This window comes from Homo sapiens, chromosome 18, assembly GCF_000001405.40.
Source record: "Homo sapiens chromosome 18, GRCh38.p14 Primary Assembly".
Lineage (NCBI taxonomy): Eukaryota > Metazoa > Chordata > Mammalia > Primates > Hominidae > Homo > Homo sapiens.
Window position 1 is genome coordinate 3,111,620 of NC_000018.10, and position 16,534 is coordinate 3,128,153.

Sequence of the window (16,534 nt, forward strand, 5' to 3'; positions counted from 1 at the left end):
CAAAACACAGGAAAATTATACAAGATTGAAATTTTATAATGCATATAACGCATCACATTATATAATACATATAATGTGCATGATAAAGTTTTATTAGAACACAGCCATGCTCATTAGTTTATGTATCCTCAATGGCTTCTTTTGTGTCATGGCAGAGTTAAGAAGTTGTGACAGAGACCACAGGGCTGTTGAGTGATAAATATTATCTGGCCCTCCACAGAAAAAGTTTGCTGACCTCTGGTTTAAACATAATAGCTACAATTACATAAATCCTACTTTCGTTTAAGGATTGTGCCCACTAGCTGGGCTGTTCTAGCTTCCCCTATGATTGGGAAAATATTCTTATGAGACTTAATGGCCAGGGTGTAATAGGAATAACATTCCAGGAATGAATGCTTGGAACAGTTGGTCCGGGAAGCTTAACTTGATCAAGAACTTCCGGGTTTTTAGGTATGCATCAGAACAGCCCCTAGACCACGTCAAACCTGGCTCAACCCTGTCCTGAGGTGCCTGTGATGGGACCAATGACTGTCATGTTCTAAGATCATTACTTATCAATTATATTCAGATAGCACACATTGATTGTTTTGAAAATTAGAGGAAAGCACAGAAAGGCCGAACCTTAGTTCAGTATCTTACACAGATAGGATTAGTTTTAATGAAAAGGTGAAAGCCCACCTGGACGGGTCTCTGCCACAACAGGGCCAGCAAGGTCAGATGGCTTCCCAACTCCCGCCTGGTTTATGGCTCGAACACGGAACACGTAGCTGACGCCCTCCTTGAGGCCTCGAACCTGGTAGAAGCAGGTGTAGAAGCAATGGGTGTTTGATGAAGCAGTGGCTGTTTTATGTCATTTAAACAGACGGGGCTCTTCCTCTGTAGTAATGATTTAGTGACCTAGCACCAGGGATACAAGACTTGTGGTCTAGATTTGATTCTGTCAAACACTACGCAGGTGACTTTAGCTGTAGATGGTCTTCTCTCTAGACCATCTGTAGATAGAGAGGAGTTTCCAATATCCATTCTCACTTTGATGTTTCTCCTTTTTAGTTAATTTAGTGGCCACCAACATCAGAAACAGAGACTAGTGTACGTAGGTGTCACATGCGTTAGCCACTGTATTCTTTGGTCAAAAGGACAAAATACAAAGTGCTCATTATAGCATATATGTCGCTTTTCCCCCCAATCCTTTTGAGACATTCCATGAATAATTTCAGATGGAATTCTTGGCAAAAGAGGAGAATTAAAAGCATGAATCATGAACACTTTCCATTTGTTTAAAAGCATGTTAAACTACTAAAACCAAAACAAACAATAATTGTTCCTGTAAATTTAATATAGCTATTTCTTACTAAATAGACATGAAATTAACACAATTGTGAGTTTGAATAATTTGTGAATAACCAAAGTGTATTAAAATTCTAAATCCTCAAGTTTTTAATGATCAAGATGTGTGCTGAGAATCCACTACATATGTGCCACTAAACTAGAATTACTAAGAGCTGTAAAAAAAAAGCATTTATAATTTATTTTTGTATGACAGTCCCACTTCATGTATATATACACACACATACATATATACACACATGTATATATATATACACACATGTATATATATATACACACACATCTATGTGTGTATATGTGTATGTATATATATGTGTGTATGTGTTTGTGTCTATATATATATATATATATATATATATATATATATATGTATGTATTTCTGAGACAGAGTTTCACTCTGTTGCTCAGGCGGAGTACAGTGGCACAATCTCAGCTCACTGTAGCCTGGACCTCCTGGGATCAAGCAATCCTCCTGCCTCAGCCTCTTGAATAGTTGGGACCACAGACATGTGCCAGCACACCAGGCTACCTAAAAACAATTTTTTTTATAGATACGGGATTTCTCCATGTTGCCCAGGCTGGTCTCAAACTCCTGGGCTCAAGCAATTTTCCCACCTCAGCCTCCCACAGTGTTGGGATTACAGGAGTGAGCCACCATGCCTGGTTTCCTACTTAATTTTTTGTAACTTTCTTTGGGTTTTGAATAATCTCATTACTATTACCAATACTGTTAATGTTTTATCAACATTTTTATTTTAAAAACATGTGACTTTTAAAAGCTATGTTATAAGAAGGAATTTATTACACAGAGGGCATAATTTTTCCCCAAGATGTGATAGAGACCAATATCCAAAATGTGATTTAAATCAAACAATGTTGGAATAAAGTTATTCAATTATGTGAAGTGTTTGTGACCATGTATTTAAATGAGGTACGTATTAAATTGTTAGGTTTTTAATCTAACTAATTGTATTTGTTTACAGCAGAATGTCACTATTTATGTAGTAATAGCCCTCACTGGCACTAACGGATTTTTGAAATGGATTTTATTCTGTAAATGAACTTTAACTTAGTTATAGGTTAAATGTATAGAGCCTGACATATTTAAATTCTATGTTTAGAAATAATGCCAGGAAACTGTGGATTTCCAGAAGAACACAGAAACATTTCCGTGTAATAAAAATAGAGTAATCGCCAGGTACCTGACACATCTGCACCTGCCACCTAGGTGATGATGTATGGCTGTGAGTCAGATTTCTGCAACATGTACAGGAAGTCTGTTCATATTCCAGTGTCTGGTCCCTGGGGTGACAGGGGCACTCTCTGCTCTTCCATCACCACAGGGGCAATGACCACTGGCCTCAACAGTACCACAAATACGTAATCGAGATCATCGATGCAGATCTATTTTCCCTTTTTTTTTTTTTTCGAGACAGAGTCTCGTTCTGTTGCCCGGGCTGGAGTGCAGTGGTGCAATCACAGCTCACTGCAGCTTCCGCCTCCCTGGTTCAAGCAATCCTCCCATCTCAGCCTCCTGAGTAGCTGGGAATACAGGCACATGCCACCATGGTCAGCTAATTTTTTTTTTTTTTTTTTTTTTTTTAGAGACAGGGTTTTGCCATGTTTCCCATGGTCTTGAACTCCTGGGCTCAAGTGATTTGCCTGCCTTGGCCTCCCAAAGCCCTGGGATTATAGGCATGAGTCACCGTGCCTGGCCTACTTTCTTCTTTGTGCTTCTTATGTTTGAATTTTTCATTTAAATTGTTAGTTTTATAATCAGAAAAATAAAAAAAGATTATTTTCACTTTATAAAAACTGTTGATAAAATGTAAGAACTCTCCTTACGGAAGTTCACTTCCAGGTTTGTTAGGTATACTTAACCTCAGTCTCTCTTTCTCTCTCTGTCTCTCTGTTAAAATTCCCGTTATTCTTTTTCTTTTTAAAAATGAGTGACATTAACCATTCTTTCACACATTTAAACTCTACTTTTTTTTTTCTTTTTGTTTGCTTCTTCACCTTTGTTTCGCTTCACCCTAGTCAGTTCAAACCTCAGGCCCTTGGCATCCTCTACAGTGGCAGACTGAAGACTTGGAAATCTTCATCCCAGCCATATACACCCACCACCATCATCTAGGATGTTCCTGACCTTTATTTTACACTGTACTTTGGGGGTTTCTCGGAATCCAGGGACCTCTGGACTCATCTTGACAGCAAACAACATCATAGGCTTCAGTCCTTCCTTGAACTTTTCTCTTCCTCATGAAAAGATGACCTGTCTTATTTCTTCAGAGTTTTGCAAGAAGCTGGAGAGCTGATTGGCATATGCTAAGTTGAGTTAATGGCAAGTTGGGTATAATGGTTTATGGGCTGTATCTCCTGGAGGATATATTTACATAGTTTAGAGTGGCTGGAAATACCCTAACCCTGGAGAGTGGCTGATAGATGGAAGGGACTTAGTTCATGAGGCAGGTCAGGGAGAGATCTTTTTGGCCAGGTATACTTTGAGTATCTTCCAAAGCCCACCTTATAGGCAATGACCTCTTCTGCCAAAAGATAGGACTGTGCAAACGCAGTGTGTAACTTCCTGAGTGACTGTGGTGAAGTCAGTCACATTTCATTCTAAGTAGTAAGTAATGCAATCATATTCCCTACAGTTTCTGAGGCCCCGCTGGGGCATCAGGGTCTCCAGGTGCCACTGCTAACACTAGCGGAAAATATTCTTTCGAAATTTCCTTTTGCTACAAATGAGAGATTTGGTGGCTATGGCAGAACAGTCTTTGGCCAACAGAGTTAGGAAATGGTTCAATGAGCACACTCTAGAGGAACCTGAAAGGCAGTGACATGGATAAGGGGGTTGAGTGAACCTGTTCCACTAATCTCTGAGAGCTCATGTGAGAACCGGCCTGAGGGAGGAGGTAACGTGAGACAGGAGTGACTCGAGAGGATCAGTAGTCACAGGCTTCCTGGTGTGAACTTTATAAAAACAGCACCCTCAAATCAACCATCCCCCTAGAAAAAAGAGGAATGAAAAAATCACCTTTTGGGGATGGTAAGCAGTAAGGTTTTAAGACTATGAGTAACAAAAATGTGTAGTGGGTAAGTTGAGGCAAGGAGAGAAAGGAGAGAGGAAGGAGCTGCTGGGTGCATTTCAAAGCTATGCTAAGGAATTCAGGTTAAATATAACCAAACTCTTTCAAGCATCAGAAACTTCTCCCAGCCCCAACCTCTGCCAGTGGAATCTTACCAGGAGCCCAATATATGAAACAGATCAAAGCGGAGATATTCTGTTTTATCTTGCTAACTTTAAAGTTCGTATTAGTAGAGCAGTTAGTAGAGGAAGCTCTAGAACTGAGCAGCCTCTTACCTTCAGGTATACGTTTTTAATAGCCGCCTCATTGAGCCCTCGCCACTGGTCTTCTTTGGCCTTGGCCTCCTTCAAGTCCACGAAGTAACCAGTGACCGGAGTCCGCCCGGAGTGGACTGGCGGCTTCCACTGGAGAACCAGTGAGTCTTTCCTGACTTCACTACACTTGAGACTGTGCGGTGGTCCTGAGAGAGAGAGAAGCCAATGAGTAGAAATCATAACAGAGAAAACTCGTCTCCACACGTTTAGAACCACTTGTAAGTCTTCAAGCTAATCTAACACTGGTGTTCTTTTTTCAAAATCTAGCTTTCCCATGAAAAATAAGTATTCTGTGGTCATTTCACAACGTTTTCGTACTGCTCTACATTAGCCCACTGAGTCCCTTTAAGGGTGGCAGGTAGGTAAGGCCACTCTGAGGTGCCTCTCAAAGGGTGGACCCAAAACTTCCCTTCAGGCCATTCTCTGGCCTGCATTAGTCTCAAAGACCTTTTATTGGAACAGTCTGATTTAGCTGCAGATTCATATTTTTTGATTTTTATTTTTAGACACAGGGTTTTGCCCTGTTACCCAGGCTGGAGTGCAGTGGTGTGATGGTAGCTCACTGTAACCTCGAGCTCCTGGGCTCAAGGGATCCTCTCACCTTAGCCTTCTGAGCAGCTGGACCTACAAGTGTGCACCACCACACCCGGCTAATTTTTTAAGTTTTTATAGAGATAGGGTCTTGCTGTGTTGACCAGGCTGGTCTTGAACTCTTGGGTTCAAGTGGTTCTTCTGCCTCAGCCTCCCAAAGTGTTGGGATTACAGGTGGGAGCCACCATATCTGGCACCCAGTTTCAGATAATTTTTGAGTGACAGCCTAAAATTTCCCCTTAATCTCAAATAGTATAAAGAAAGCAGCTCTATTTGATGGCATATGAATATAGAGAGTAATAGCTCTTTCAAAGGAAAAAGCATCACTCCCAATTGGAGGAAAATCTTCCCCGTAAAGAGTATGCGCAGCCCACAAATGGGTAAAAACAAACGATAGGTTATGGTTTACAAAATCCTTTTACCAAATTAAATATAATCAATCCTATGGGCCCTGCATCTGCACTAAATACTGCCAGGTACCTTACATTCATTTATCTCCCTCTTCCTTAAGACAATTAACAGAAAGAAAGCTCAGAGAAGCCAAGACACTTCATAACCCTCTGCAGGGAGAAAGCCAAAATGTGGCCTGTATGAATGCTATTCACATTCTTGGCAAAGTCCAAACTACTAAGTGATTGCCTGTATCTTTGCATGACCACCAGCTGCTACGCAGGTGAAAAAATTTATTTTTTCCTTTCCTTTTTTTTTTTTTAAATAACAACTGACATCTAGCCAACCAATCAAAATCACCTGAAGTGACTCACAGTAGCCTGAAAGCCAACTTGTAGAAGGACATACTCTGTTATGCCATGCTTTGGTGTTGTGTAATTGATAGTTCAATATTTGTTTGGCCCTTTACCTTGGCTTCATGGCTACAAATATGCGTCATGCTTGCCTTCCGATGTTTTGTATAAAGCTATATTTAAATATTAATACCAAATACCTCACACGAATGTGGCATGTTCTGTTTTGCAAAGGGCTTTTATAACCATGATCTTGTGTCATCCTGAGAACCCAGGGAGGCATCTAGATTGGGAGCAGTATCCCTGCCCTACAGATGAGGAACTATGCTCTGCTGTTTCCTAGCAGCTCTAGTCTAGGGAAAAGCAGACCTAGTTTCCTACCCTAATTATGCTACTTGTTACCTCTGTGACCCTCTGGGCATCATTTAACCTGAGTGTCAATTTTTTCATCTGTAAAACAGGATGACAAAACATTCTTATTGCTTTCTTCCATAAGGGATTTCTTGAAGTGAGACTTGCTTTACACTACTCAGTAAGTCAAGGATGGGACTGAGAAGCCAGGGTGTCAGGAGGGTGGAGGGCTGCCCCCTCCATTTCTTCTCTAAGTTGACAGCGCTCACCTGCAACCTTTCTTTGTCAACTGCATCACTTTTTTTTAAAGACAGACAGAGCCTCACTCTTATCCAGGCTGGAGCACAGTGGTGTGATCACAGCTCACTGCAGCCTTGACCTCGTGAGCTCAAGCAATCCTCCTGAGTAGCTGGGACTACAGGCATGCACCATCATGCCCAGCTAATTAAAAAACATTTTTTAAGAGATGAGGCCTCACCACGTTGCCCAGCCTGGTCTTGAACCCCTGGGCTCAGGCAATCCCCCTGCCTCAGCCTCCCAAAGCACTGGGATTACAGGAATGAGCCACCGCACCCAGCCAACGACATCACTTTTGATCAAAAAAAATTTCTACAGGCCTGCTCGGAATTTCTTAGTCTCTAGTCGATTGCATTTCACTTTACTCAGGAATTGCAAGAATTTGAAAATAGACCCACTTTTATGCAGGTGGCAGAAAGGACTTAAGAAATACCAACTGGCCTCAAGGAACTGCAAGGAAAGAGCAATGTGTTTGTCTCTCTCTATTTGCTGAAGTCGAGAGAGCACCTGAACTGCTCTTGAGTTTCTCTTGGAATCTTGTTATTCACACCTGACAGAGAAGTTCAGCAAAGGCAACGTGATGGTCTTCAAGGGCAAAGGGTTTCAAACAGAGGAAGCAAGAGGCACCAGGGACATAAAATCACCCCCCGCATACCTTACTATTGCTAGTTTAAATCTTAACGGCTTAGTAAATTTGCATTCAATTTTTATTTTATTTTATTTTGTCTTTATAACTCTGTAAGAGTTACAAGCAAGGTAAGTTTCCCCCAGCCCCATCCTCGCCCCACTTCCCACTTTCTTCCCTGCCCACCCAACCACTCCCTATGATGACCTCTGAAGAACAGTATTTGCCAGGTTCCAGGAAATTTCTTTTGGCTCAGAGTTTGGAAAATGCTTAGAGAGAAAGGGCTGGAAAAGTCAGTGCAGAGAGGCAAGCGGAGAGAGGTCAGCCTTAAACCCTAGACAGGTGCACGAAATCCATCCATGTGATATGATGAAGAGCTGGGAGGAGGGAGAAGGAGAGCCTAAGAAGCCACATAGCTTGGGTATGGAGGGAGAGATTTTGGGGGGCTAATAAATGAGAACCTTCCCAGCAGCATAACAATATATGAGAACAAAGAAGTGCAGGGAGAAGTGTTTGAGAAATTTTGCTGTGGGATATAAATTGGATAACCTTTAAGTGGCCTTTCAGAAGCAAAAACAAAGATTGGAATTCCTTTTAAACATTCATTTGCACTCAAGCCGGCTGCCTGTGCTAATCCTACTCCTCGCACAGGCTGAGCGATGAGGGCTCTAGGATTTACTGGGAACACAAGCATAAGGAATTTATACTCAGTTTTACATTGCTACCTATTATTTAATATTATCATTAAAATATTTTAGGTAAACACAAGGGGCCAAGAGAATTCTTTTCCCTTAAATATTGACCATATAGTACTTTGAATTTCATTCCAGGTTGTAGGTTCTCTTGGAGGAAATTCCGAGGTGCGGTGTGGAGGCAGGTGTCTGTGGTTTACCTGGGACGGCGATGGTCCACTCTTCACATTTGAAGCATTCGCTTACTGCGGAGGGCGCGCCCAGCCCAGCCATGTTCATGGCTGCCACTTGGAACTGATACACCATGTTTTCCTTCAAGTTGCTAATCTGCAACATTGACAACATCACAGATACTGAATGTTCCAGGTTTGTTTTTTTTTTTCTACTTGTTGAGCATTTTATTTATTTACCTTCCATGTCAGACACACCCTAGGGTGACCCTCAATGAGTCACACCCCTTTTGTAATCTCCTGGGTGTGGATGAAACCGTGACCTCCTTGTAGCCTACAATAGAATGTGGCAAAGGGATTGGGAGATCAAGTCCTGTGATTGTGTCACCCCATATGGCAAAGGAGAAAAGATATTATAGATTAGGGTCCCTAGTCAGCTGATTTGAGGTTAATTAAAAGGGAAATTATCCTGGATGGGCCTGATGTTATCAGGTAAGAACTCTTACAATGGGGTTCGGGCCCCTCCTAAAGAAAAACATGGTGCCAATGGCCTTGAGGAGGTAAATGTCACACTGAGAGCTGCCTACCCACTCACATTTGGAGAAAGGCAACATCTAGGAGTGGAAGCCTCAGCCCTACAGCTGCAAGGAACTGAATTCTGCCAACAACCTGAGCGGGCTTGGAAGAGGAACTCAACATGAATGTGGCCCAGCTGATAACCGGATTGCAGCCCTGTGAGATCCTGAACAGACGACCCTGCAACGCCGTGCGCAGACCCCTGACTCAAGGACACCGTGATACAACAAATGTGCATTGTTTTCAGCCACCGAGTCTGTGGTAATTTGCTATGTAGCAATAGAAAGCTAGGGCATGTACAGGTGAAATTTAAACGAGTTCTAAGCTAGGAATCAAAATGCTCAAGTTCTCATAATGTTTCTGCTCTTTACTGAGTGACCTAATATTTTCCGTATCACTCAGTAGGAACTGGGTTGTTGTGAGGGTAAATATACATGACAAAATAATAAATGTTAAAACATTTGCAAAATAGAAGTGATGGAATATATTAGTGTGAAAAACATTTGTAGGAAGCAGCAAACTATAAAATATGTAAAATGTGACCGACAAGAGATGGAAAATACAGTAAGAAAAAAATAACAGACATTTTCAACAGAGTATCAGATGCAAAAGAAGAGAGAGTTTGTAAACTGACAGAAAGTCAGAAGAAATTACACAGAACATGATGTGGAAAGACTCAAAAATGGGAAAGAGAGAAAAGTTGATTAATAGACATGGAAGATAGAATGAGAACATCAAACATATGTTTAATTAGTTTTGGGAGAAGTGCAGAGAGAGAGAAAATGAGGGAGAAACAATATTTTAGGAGATACAGAATTTTCTAGAAAGATCTTCTGAAAAATCCAACCCACAGATGAAAAATCCTCTGCCCCCTAAAATCCCGGGTAGATACATCTTTTTTAAAAACCCACATCTAGACCTATAGTATTTTAAGTATAGCACACCAAAGATAAAGTGAACATATCAAAAGCTGTCCAAGAAAAAAGGCAAATTACCCTCAAACAAGCAAGCAGACCAAGAGTTGAATGTCAGCGGCAACAATGGGCCAGAAGATGGTGCAATTACATCTTCAAAGCACTTAATTAAAAGCAAATAAAATGGTAAATATATTGGTAAGTTGAATCTATAAAACAATAATCACATTGCTGTTTGGATTTTAAAAAGAATTAAAACACAGACACATACATACACAATAGCATACAAGTTGGGAAAAAGGTAAAGGGGTAAAGTTTTTAAGGCCCTTCTGTTTCTGAGACAAGAGTAAAACAAATGAAATAACTTCAGACTTTAAGTTGCACAGTCACCAAAACGAAAGAAACTCGGAATCTATAACTTTTAAGGTAGAATAGAAGGAAAAATTGAACAACTTTTAAAAACGATTCAAAAATAGTCAAAAAAGGACAGAAAATGAAACACAGAACAGGCCAGGTGTGGTGTCTGACGCCTGTAATCCCAGCACTTTGGGAGGCCGAGGCGGGCGGATCACTTGAGGTCAGGAGTTTGAGACCAGCCTGGCCAACATGGTGAAACCCTGTTTCTTCTAAAAATACAAAAATTAGCCAGGCGTGGTGGCACATGCCTGTAATTCCAGCTACTTGGGAGGCTGAGGCACGGGAATTGTTTGAACCCAGGAGGCGGAGGTTGCAGTGAGTCAAGATCATGCCACTGTACTCCAGCCTCAGGGACAGAGTGAGACTTTGTCTCAAAAAAAGAGAAAGAAACACAGAACAGAAAGGACAAATAGAAAGTACAAAATAAGATATTAGTTTTTTTTTTTTTTTAAGTAATCAGTAATAGCAAACAAATGACAAAGACTGTCAGGGAGGAAAAACACAAAATTTAACTCCGTGCTATTTTTAAGAGACACATGTAAAGCAGAAAGTTTCAGAAAGATAGAAAGTTAAAGGATGAAAAGCTACATACCATGCAAAAGTCACCCCACCCCAAAACCCTAGTGTATCTATGGTAATAACAGGCAATATAGACTTTAAGGTAAAATGTATTCATAATGGTAAAGAGTCACTTTGTATCCATTTAAAAATATCACTTCAAAATTCATAAGGCAACATTTTAAATGAGTGAACTTTATGATGTGTGAATTATATCTTAATAAAGGGAGACTATCCTGCATTTTTTTCCTTCCTGTACTATCCTTGTCAGATATTAGTATTAAATTAATTCTAGTCTCAGAATAATCTCACTCATGAACATAGAAGCAAAAATCCTAAACGATAATTGGCAAACAAAATCCAGGTGATATAAACAGAGTATATATAGTATCCAAGTTGAATTTATTCCAGGAATGCAAGGTAGTTTTAACATTAGACAATTACTAGAATATACCAAATTATAATAAAAGGGAAAAAAATCATATAATCTTCTCAATAGACCCCAAAAATGTTTTTGATAATTTTAATTAACTGTTGGCAAACGGGGAATAGAAGGAAACTTCCTTTAACCGATAATAGATGTCTACAAAACACCTGTAACACACAATACAGTATTTAATGGTGAAATGTTGTAAAATTTCCCTTTAAGATAACTATCAAGCCTAGAATGACCAACATCACCACTTTAAAAAAAAAGAAGAAAATCTGAGACGGTGTCGTGCTGTGTTGCCCAGGCTGGTCTTGAACTCCCGGGTTGAAGCAATCCACCGCCTCAGGCTCCCAAAGTGCTGGGATTACAGGTGTGAGCCACCATGCCCCCAGCACCACCACTTTTATTCAATATAGTGCTAAAGTCACTATGCAGAAAGTAAGGTAAGAAAATGAAGTAAAAGTTATAAAATTTGGAAATGAAGTAAATTGCCACTATTTGCAGATGATATGAATATACATAGACTCCAAAAGAACTTCAAGGTAACATTCAAATTATTTAAAAAATTTAACAAAAGACTACATATAATAATTATATGTGAAATCAATATATAAAAGTTATATTTCTCTTTACTAGCAATAAAAACTGATATAAAAATATACTGAAAATATATCGTCTCTATTAATAAATAACAAATGATATACAAACCTCTGTAGAGAATCGTAAAACTTTAATAAGAGGCTTTAAAAAGACCAAAACGAATGAAGAAAAATAACATGTTCATGGATTAGAAGGTTCAATATTTTTTAAATGTCAATTATTCCTTAATTTTTTTACAGATTCAATGCATCCTCAATCAGAATTCTAATGGGTTTAGTTGGGTTGAATGTAAGTTTTTTTATTGTTGTTTTCTTTTGTTTTGTCTTACTTATTATTATTACTATTTTTTTTTTTTTGGTAGAACTTGGGACCCTAATACTTAAATTTATATCAAGTGCAAAGGGCTAAGAGTAGCTCTGGAAAAAGAATAAACCAGGAGAAGCTGATCTATCAGTCATCAACTTTACTATAAAGCTATAATTTATTTTTATTTATTTATTTTTTTTGAGACAGGATCTCGCTCTGTCACCAAGCCTGGAGTGCAGTGGTGTGATCTCAGCTCACTGCAACCTCCACCTCCCGGGTTCAAGTGATTCTCATGCCTCAGCCTCCTGAGTAAAAGGTATAAAAGTAGCTGGGATTACACATGAGAGCCACCACTCCTGGCTAATTTTTGTATTTTTAGTAGAGACAGGGTTTCACCATGTTGGCCAGGCTGGTCTCAAACTCCTGGCCTCAAGTGATCCCCCCACCTCGGCCTCCCAAAGTGCTGAGACTACAGGTGCGAGCCACCATGCCCGGCCTATAAAGCTATAATATTTAAATCAGTGTGGTAGTCACCCACTGTTACACAAACAGACCAGTGGAACAGCATGGGAAGCACGAACACAGACTCACGCATATAAGGAAACGATATATGATACAGATACCCCTGCAGAATAGCAGGCAGACGACAAACTTTTCTTTTTTCTTTTTTTTTTTTTTTGAGATGGAGTCTCACTCTGTCGCCCAGGCTGGAGTGCAGTGGCGTGCGATCTTGGCTCACTGCAAGCTCCGCCTCCCAGGTTCACGCCATTCTCCTGCCTCAGCCTCCTGAGGAGCTGGGACTCCACCACTCCTGGGACTCCCGAGGAGCTGAGTGCCCGCCACCACGCCCGGCTAATTTTTTTGTATTTTTAGTAGAGACAGGGTTTCACCGTGTTAGCCAGGATAGTCTCGATCTCCTGACCTCATGATCCACCTGCCTCGGCCTCCCAAAGTGCTGGGATTACAGGCGTGAGCCACCGCGCCCGGCCCCAAACTTTTCAATAGATAATGCTGGGACAACTATGTCTCTGTGGGGGGGGGTTAATTTTGATGCTTAACTCACAGCATATAAAAATATAAAGGTGAATTAATGACAGAAATGTAAGTGGCAAAATAGTATAGCTTTTAGAATGTAATCAACTACAGTACCTCCATGATCTTGGAATAGAGAAGGCATTTCACCACAAAGGCACAAAAATCACTAAGGACAAAGCATATGTTAGTAAATATGACTACAATGAATTTGACATTAAAATTAAAGTCAGAGAAGATGTATGCGACTTACAGACCTGCAAAGGATTTCTACTCATAACATGTAAAGAACTTTGCAAGTCAACAAGAATGCATTAGAAAAATGGGCAAAAACCTTGAACAGGCATAAAAGAGGATATCAAAATGGACTGTGTACATAGGAAAGGATGTTCAAACTCATTTGACACTCAGATTGTCAAAGCTGAAAATGTGTGAATAGACCAAGTGTTGGCAAGGATGCAGAGTGATGGGAATTCTCACACACTCTTCAGAAGACAGTATGGAATTATCTAGTAAAGTGGAAGATAAACAGACCCCCTGACCCAGCCATTCTACATTTAGGTGATCACCCAGAGAAACTGGTGCACATATGTAGCAGCAGATAGATGTATACAAAATTGTTCATAGCTACTTTGCTTGATGTAGCTAAAAATGCAAAAATACCCAAATAGCAATAAGAATTGAATGAAAGAATATATTGTGATATGACCACATAATGGAATACCATACCATATAGCAATGAAAAAGAATGAGTTATAGCCACATGCACTAACAGGGAAGAATCTTAAAAATACAATTTTGTATAGGCGCAGTGGCTCACGCTTGTAATCCCAGCACTTTGGGAGGCTGAGGTGGGCAGATCACTTGAGGCCAGGAGCGAAACTCCATCTCAAAAAAAAAAAAAAAGCAACTTTGTTTTACGCATTCTCAGCATGTGTGTGATATTTCATAAATTTCAAATGTTAAATTAAAAGAGCATGGTGTTGAGTTGGGGCAGCTGTCATCCCTGGCCTCACCCTGCTCTGAACCCTCATGGCAGAGGATTCTGTGAGTGTTAAGAGGTGGTAGCTTGGATGTAGCTGATGAAGCTCTAGAGAAGAAAGTCATCAGCTAAGGCAACAGTGAGACTGTTCTGGTTCTCTTATGTGACCTGAGCAGTGGAGGCCCCCATGTAGAGGAGAACACATGTGAGGCCACCCTTTGTGGCCATCAAGCGACTATAACAAGCACCACTTCACAGCTGGTGAGCTGAGTCTAGCCATCAAGCCCATGTCCCTTCATCCGCTGTAATTTGGACACTGAAAGTTAAAAACCCAGCCGGCCGCGGTGGCTCATGCCTATAATCCCAGCACTTTGGGAGGCTGAGGTGAGCGGATCACTTGAGGCCAGGAGTTTGAGACCAGCCTGGCCAACATGGTGAAACCCTCTACTAAAAATAGAAAATTTAGCTGAGCATGGTGGCTTTCACTTGCAATCCCAGCTACTCAGGAGGCTGAGGCAGGAGAATCACTTTAACCTGGGAGGTGGAGTTTGCAGTGAGTTGAGATCACACTCCTGCATTCCAGCCTGGGGGACAGAGCAAGACTTCATCTCAAAAAAAAAAAAAAAAAAAGAAAGTTAAAAATCCAGAGTGTCATTAAATCCTGGGAATCTTTTTTTTTTTTCCCCCTCAACTTGAGGGCTGCAGAAGGATCCTGGGACTCTTGAGGCTAGTGGCATATTAATTGTAGATATTTTGTAAGTTTTGAAAAAAAAATTAGTTTGTACAGTAAGCGCACATTTCATAGTAAATATTCTAGGAATTTATTATGCTTATGTGTATGGATCAGAAAATATAAATCCTGCCTGGTTAGCCAAACTACTTGTATTCACCACAGTATATTTTTCACAAGACTCATGCCACTGCAGACAATGGACTCTGGAGAAATGACGTGACTCTCTTACAAGGTGCTGGGTGTGTGCCTGCCTGGGCGTGCAAGCATAGCGTCATACATAGGACACGCCACACTACAGAAAGTCACGTGCTTACCTTGTATGCCTCCTCACTGACAGCCTTGACATTGGCTTCTCTCCATTTTCCTGGTACCCCATCAATGACCTCGCGATAGTTCACATAATAGCCAGTAATTTCTGCCCCTCCAATCTTATCTGGTTGCTTCCATCCAAGAACCATTGAGTCACGAAAACTTTCAAGACAGGTGATATCACAGGGTGGAGATGGTGGTGCTGTAGCAATATGAATAGCTTGTGAGTAGGCAGAAATGCATTTATGATTCTATATATAAACATTTCCATGGGTGCCACATATGAGGGCACTAGATCTTGCAGTATAAAACTAAAATTCGAGGCTGATGAACTTGGCATTGAACTTGGTGAATGCAATGGACACAGTAAAAAGTACACTACAATTATTATTCCAAAGATAAAATGAACCTGTCCTAGCAAAATGGTACAATACCCTGAAAGAAAATGATTCTTTTCCCCATAAGAAGAAATATTTTTCCCAAGGTATAATTTTTGTTTCTTTATGTGGTTTAGTTTTCATTTGTTCCCTGATGAAAATGGAATGTGTATATCAATTTCTGCTGCAATTTGCTTATTCAGAATTTCCATATATATATATATATATATATATTTTTTTTTTTTTTTTTTTTGAGCTGGGGTTTTGCTCTTGTCACCCAGGCTTGAGTGCAATGGCACCATCTTGGCTCAATGCAACTTCCGTCTTCTGGGTTCAAGCAATTCTCCTGCCTCAGCCTCCCAAGTAGTTGGGATTATAGGTGTGCACCACCATGCCCGGCTAATTTTTGTATTATTAGGAGAGACAGGGTTTCACCATGTTGGCTAGGCTGGTCTCGAACTCCTGACCTTAGGTGATCCACCCACCTCAGCCTCCCAAAGTGCTGGGATTACAGGTGTGAATCACCACACCTGGCCCAGAATTTCCATATATTTCTCAAATGGTTAGCCTTTCACCATTCAGGCACACTTACCCTTGTGAGACCTTACAACTACACAACTCTGTCTGCACACAAGAAAAAAATTTACTCTAGAGCTCAGCTAAATGACAGCTTTAGAAAACATTTTTAAAAAACAGACACAATCTGCTATGTGACTTTCTCTTAGTGTATAATACTTTTATCACATTATTTTTAATCTGATGTTGGAATATTTTTCATGTGGTACAATACTATACAGCTGTCACCATGTTTATCAGTGCTTAGCTAGAAAAATATCTGGAGGATATTTCAAAAGTCCTCCTTCATTTATGTGGCTTTGCTGATCAGCTTTTCACTCAACTACTGAAATTACAGTTTTCAATGAAGAGAGGGGGTGAAGTGGTGGAAAGAAATACATCTAGATATGCAATAACATCGAAGAGAATTTTCTGAATGTTTATTTGGATTATAGGAGATAAAGAAACTATCTCATTCTTACCCAAAAAGAGTATCAGAAGAATGAAGGCTTTTAAAATAAAATAC

The 16,534-nt window shown here is 40.3% G+C and overlaps 1 protein-coding gene across 7 annotated transcripts in view; it reads right to left on the bottom strand.

The window, feature by feature from the left end:
* Positions 1 to 16,534, bottom strand: part of MYOM1 (myomesin 1) — a 180,570-nt gene that overhangs the window by 44,813 nt on the left and 119,223 nt on the right. For 6 of the 7 annotated variants that reach the window (XM_047437910.1, XM_047437911.1, XM_017026062.2 and 3 more), the window contains 4 exons: positions 15,082 to 15,278; positions 8,250 to 8,376; positions 4,712 to 4,896; positions 679 to 793 (listed from right to left, as the gene is read on the bottom strand). In XM_047437910.1, the coding sequence (XP_047293866.1) occupies positions 679 to 793; positions 4,712 to 4,896; positions 8,250 to 8,376; positions 15,082 to 15,278 (624 nt within the window). Of the gene's footprint in view, positions 1 to 678; positions 794 to 4,711; positions 4,897 to 8,249; positions 8,377 to 15,081; positions 15,279 to 16,534 lie in introns of those variants that run through there. The other variant, XR_935071.3, reaches the window with a different exon arrangement.